A 5173-nucleotide genomic window follows, 5' to 3' on the forward strand; every position below is an offset into this window, starting at 1 on the left:
TACTGAAGAATAGAGAGAAGATCTATCTCTTTTTAAACCACATGATGGGAAAAATGGGAAATGTGCTCAATTGACTCAATGAAAAGCAAAAATAAATGAACAGTAATAAATACTTATAAAATGAGGTGGAAATGTAAATACAATAAAATAATTTATCATAGTAAGAGTGAATGAATTAATGTTTCTGTTAAAAAAGTACAAATCTAATTAAGTGATTTCCTTTTTACTTAATTGATTTTTAACTAATTGACACATACAATTGTTCATATTTAGGAGGTAAGTGTAAATGTTTCAATGCATGTATACATTGTACAACGATTAAATTAGGGTAATTATATTATTTTAATCATTTCTTTGTGGTGATAGCATTCAAAATCTTTTAGCTATCTTGAAATACACACTATGTTGTTATTTGCTATTGTTTCCTTATTTATTCTCCCTAACTGTAAATCAGAAGTTATTCTTGCTGTCTAACTGTTATTTTCATAGCTGTTGACCAACCTTTCTCAGTTACTTCCTCCCCACCACCATCCCCAGCCTCTGGTAGCCATTATTCTACTCTCTACTTCCATGAGATCTTTTTTTTTTCTTTTTTTTTTTGAGATGGAGTCTTGCTCTGTCGCCCAGGCTAGAGTGCAGTGGTGCAATCTCGGCTCACTGAAACCTCCACCTCCCAGGTTCAAGCAGTTCTCCTGCCTCAGCCTCCTGAATAACTGGGATTACAGGCGCTCACCACCACTTCAAGCTATTTTTTTTTTTTTTTTGTATCTTTAGTAGAGACGGGGTTTCACCATCTTGGCCGGGCTGGTCTCGAGCTCCTGACCTCATGATCCACCGCCTCAGCCTCCCAAAGTGCTGGGATTACGGGCATGAGCCTCCGTGCCCGGCCATGAGATCATTCCACATATGTATGAGATCATGCGGTGTTTGTCTTTCTGTGTCTTGCCTATTTCACTCAACATACTATCCTCAAGTTTCATACATGTTGCTGCAAATGACAGAATTTCATTCTGTATGATTACTGAATAGCATTCCATTGTATATTGATACCACATTTTCTTTATTCATTCATCTGCAGATGAGCATTTAGATTGATGCCATATCCTGGCTATTATGAATAGTGCTGTAATAAACATGGTAATGCAGATATCTCTTTGACTGGCTGATTTCATTTCCTTTGGATATATACCCTGTAATGGGATTGCTGGATCATATGGTATCTCTATTTTAATTTTTAAAAATAAACTCCATACTGTTTTTTATAATGGCCATACTAATTTACATTCCCATCAATAGTGCACAAGAGTTCTTTTTTCTTCACATCCTTGCTAACATTTATGGGTTTTTTTTTGTATTTTTGATAATAGTCATTTTAATTGGGGTGAGGTGATATTTTGTTGAAGATTGTTGAATTTTTTTCATATATATTGGTCATTTGTATGTCTTCTTTTGAGACATGTCTATTCAGGTTTTTGCCCATTTTAAAATTAAATTATTTGTTTTTTTTTCCTATTAATGGTGTTCCTTATATGTTCTGGAATACTAACTCCTTTAAAGATGAATAGTTTGCAAATAATTTCTCCCGTTCTGTAAGTTGTCTATTTATTGATAATTTCCTTGCTATGTAGAAGCTTTTTAGTTTGATGTAATCCCATTTGTCTATTTTTGCTTTTGTTGTCTGTGCTTTTGAAGTCTTATTTTAAAAAAAAATCCAATCCAATTTTATGAAATGTTTCCCCAATGTTTTCTTCTAATTGTTTAATAGTTTTGGGTCTTAGATAGGCTTAAGCTTTAGTTCATTTGATTTGATTTTTGTATATGGTGATAAAAGGTATCTAGTTTCATTCTTCTGCATGTGGATATCCAATTTTCCTAGCACTATTTACTGAGGAGAGTATCCTTTTCCCAATGTGCATGCTTGGCATATTTGTTGAAAATCAATTGGCTGTTGGGTTCTCTGTTCTTTTTCATTGGTATATTTGTCTGTTTTTATGCCAGTGCCACGCTGTTTTGTTTTCTATAGGTTTGTAGTATATTTTGAAGTCAAGTAGTTTGATATCTCCAGCCTGTTCTTTTTGCTCAAGATTGCTTTACCATCTGGGTCTTTTGTTTCCATATACATTTTAAGACTTTTCTTTTCTATCATGTGAAGAATGTTTGTGGTATTTTGATAGGGATTGCATTGAATCTGTAGATCACTTTGGATGATATAGAAATTTCAGGAATAGTAATTCTTCTAATCCATAAGCACAGGATATCTTTCCATTTATTTGTGTTGTTTTCAGTTTCTTTCATCAATGGTTTATAGTTTTCATTCTAAAGATCTTTCACCTATTTGCATATTCTTTTTTTGTACGTATTGTTACTTTCTTGATTTTTTTTTAAATGGTTCACTATTAGTGCATAGAAATGCCACTAACTTTGGTATGCTGATTTTGTATTCTGCAGCTTTACTGAATTCATTTATTATTTCTCTAATAGTTTTTTTTAACTGGAGTCTTTAGAGTTTTCTATACATATGATCATGTCATTTGCAAATGGGGGCAATTTTACTTCCTCCTTTCCAATTTACATGCCCTTAATTTTTTTTATTTTGACTAGTTGCTCTTGTTAAAACTTTCAGTATTATGTTGAACAAAATGGTGAAAATAGGTATTCTTGTCTTGTTATAGAACTTAGAAAGCATTCAACTTTTCCCCATTCAGCATATGTCAGCTGTGGATCTACAATGTATGATTTTCATTGTGTTGAGGTATGTTTCTTCTCTGTCCAGTTTGTTGAGATCATATTTTCTTTAGGAAATGGATAAAATATGGAAGAATTAGTAGAAACTTTAGTTCATAATTATAGTGGGGGGTTAACAAGTTTAGTTAAGAAATTTATATATAAAGTATACTCAACTATAAATATAAATAATTTGAATGATAAAGTAATAAGCTTAGTATTATATACATATATAACGCTTTCTCTCTTCCACAAATAGTATGATAGGCCCCCAAATAAACTCTAGATTTTATTGGAGGAAAATTTGAAGAAAAACACCTCACACAATGTGTAATTCATATACCCATTGACCTGGATACTCTACATTTCCAATTCTGTACTATGAAAATGCTCACATATGAAAAGAAAGATTTGCCGGATGCAGTGGCTCATGCCTGTAATATCAGCAGTTAGGGAAACTGAGGTGGGTGGCTCACTTGAGGCCAGGAGTTCAAACAGCCTGGCCAACATGGCAAAAACCTGTCTCTACTAAAGACACAAAAATTAGCTGAGCGTGGTGGTGTGCACCTGTAGTCCCAGCTACTCAGGAGGCTAAGGCCTGAGAATCACTGGCACCCTGGAGACGTTGCAGTGAGCCAACACTGCAACACTGCACTGCAGCTTGGGTGACAGAGAGACTCTATCTCCAAAATAAGAAAAGAAAAGGTATATGCACAGGCATGTTAATTGTTACATCATTTTTAGTATTAAAAAACTAACAGTAACCTTTAGTTCATTAATGAGAATGATGAAATAGTTATTTTATATTATAGAATATGTCATGTGACCAAAAAAATCAATTTTTTAAAAACATTACTAACCAAAAATGTCACAGAATAGTTGTGTAGATTTATCTCATTTAAGCAAGGCACATAAACATGTAAGTGATTAGATAGAGAACTGATGGAGTATTTTTTGAGAGCAGTCCAAAAATGTAAGATAAAGGGAGATCTTTCACATTTTGGTTTATTTACTTTTGGCAGAATTGAAGACTATATTATAAAATGATTTTAAGTTCTTTATTAGATTTCTATTTTCAATATTTTCTATAATATACACCTATAACTCAGAGAAAATAAATTGAACAGATTTACAAATTTTTAAAAATTATTAACAAGAGACAATAAATCTAAATCCATCTATTATAATTCTAACAAGACCAAATCATGGAAAAACTATATTTATTGAGTGTCTCCTATAAAGAGGGTAATTAACAATCAGATGATAAGCTGCCATCTTAATCGTTCAATAACATTTTACATAACAAGTCAAATCCATTCAAGAAATTGTTAATGTACTCTTCGAAAACCTCGTGGAATTGTCTTAAGTGATTGTATAATATTTGATGGGAACTCATGATCCAGAAAATCTTGCCAATTTAAATCAATTAATAATTCTGATATATTATACTTCTTTTTTTGGCCATCACTTGAAACATGTTTCAGAATGGTAAGGAAGTTTTACTGGAAAGTAGAGAAAGTGAGAAAAAAACCTAGAAGAGTTATGAGCATAACCTAGGATAGTTATTAACATTATCCAGTGCATGTTATAATCAACAATCATGTATCTTTAGACTCATTCTTGTCAAATATAGGAGCAAAGGAACATTATTTGCTTTGTTTCTTACTACTTCTTTAAAAACACATCCTTTTCTCCACAATGAATTTACTTTTTATGTCAAAGTCTGTTAAGGGTTGCTCTAAGTACTTAGCTCCCCACCTCACTGTGAACAATAGTGTTTTAGTATTCAATCGGCATGGCTGTAAAAGTACGTTATTACTAGACACACAGAGCATACATGCTCCTTGAAATAACTGGGCAGATACATTGCTCTTATTTAATACAGAATAGACTGAATGAAGGCAGAGGAGAATGGATTAAGTCCTCATGTGCCAGTGCACCCTCACACACACATACACACACACACATACACACACAACTCACACATGTATAACATACACAGACAAGAACTACAGAAATAATGCTAAGTAAAGGGTGGTAAAGCAAAGAGGAATCTAAACATTTGAATGTAGTATGGACCAAAGACAGGTGACCATGTGAGTTCAGCTCTGCCAATTTTTGAGGGAGAATAAATCTCTTATGAAAATTATCTTACCAGCAGCTTGTGGAGGACTTGCCTGGGTATATGGGCAGCTCATGTTTATTGTACAAAGGACTGTTAACCTCACTATGTATATTATGCATATCTGCTATGGTAAGCAAGGCAGCTTCTGTTTATAAATAATGTAAGTTAATTTAACATATCAAATGTTAAATTAGATAAAGTTTTATTTGAATAATAATATCAGAGTACTGGGGCTTTTTGGTGTCACCCTAATAAATGACCTCAAAGTAGCAAGCACACAGAACTGCCATCCCAGCATGAGGTATGGCATATAAGAATTCCACA

This window comes from Homo sapiens, chromosome 2 (assembly GCF_000001405.40).
Source record: "Homo sapiens chromosome 2, GRCh38.p14 Primary Assembly".
Classification (NCBI taxonomy): domain Eukaryota; kingdom Metazoa; phylum Chordata; class Mammalia; order Primates; family Hominidae; genus Homo; species Homo sapiens.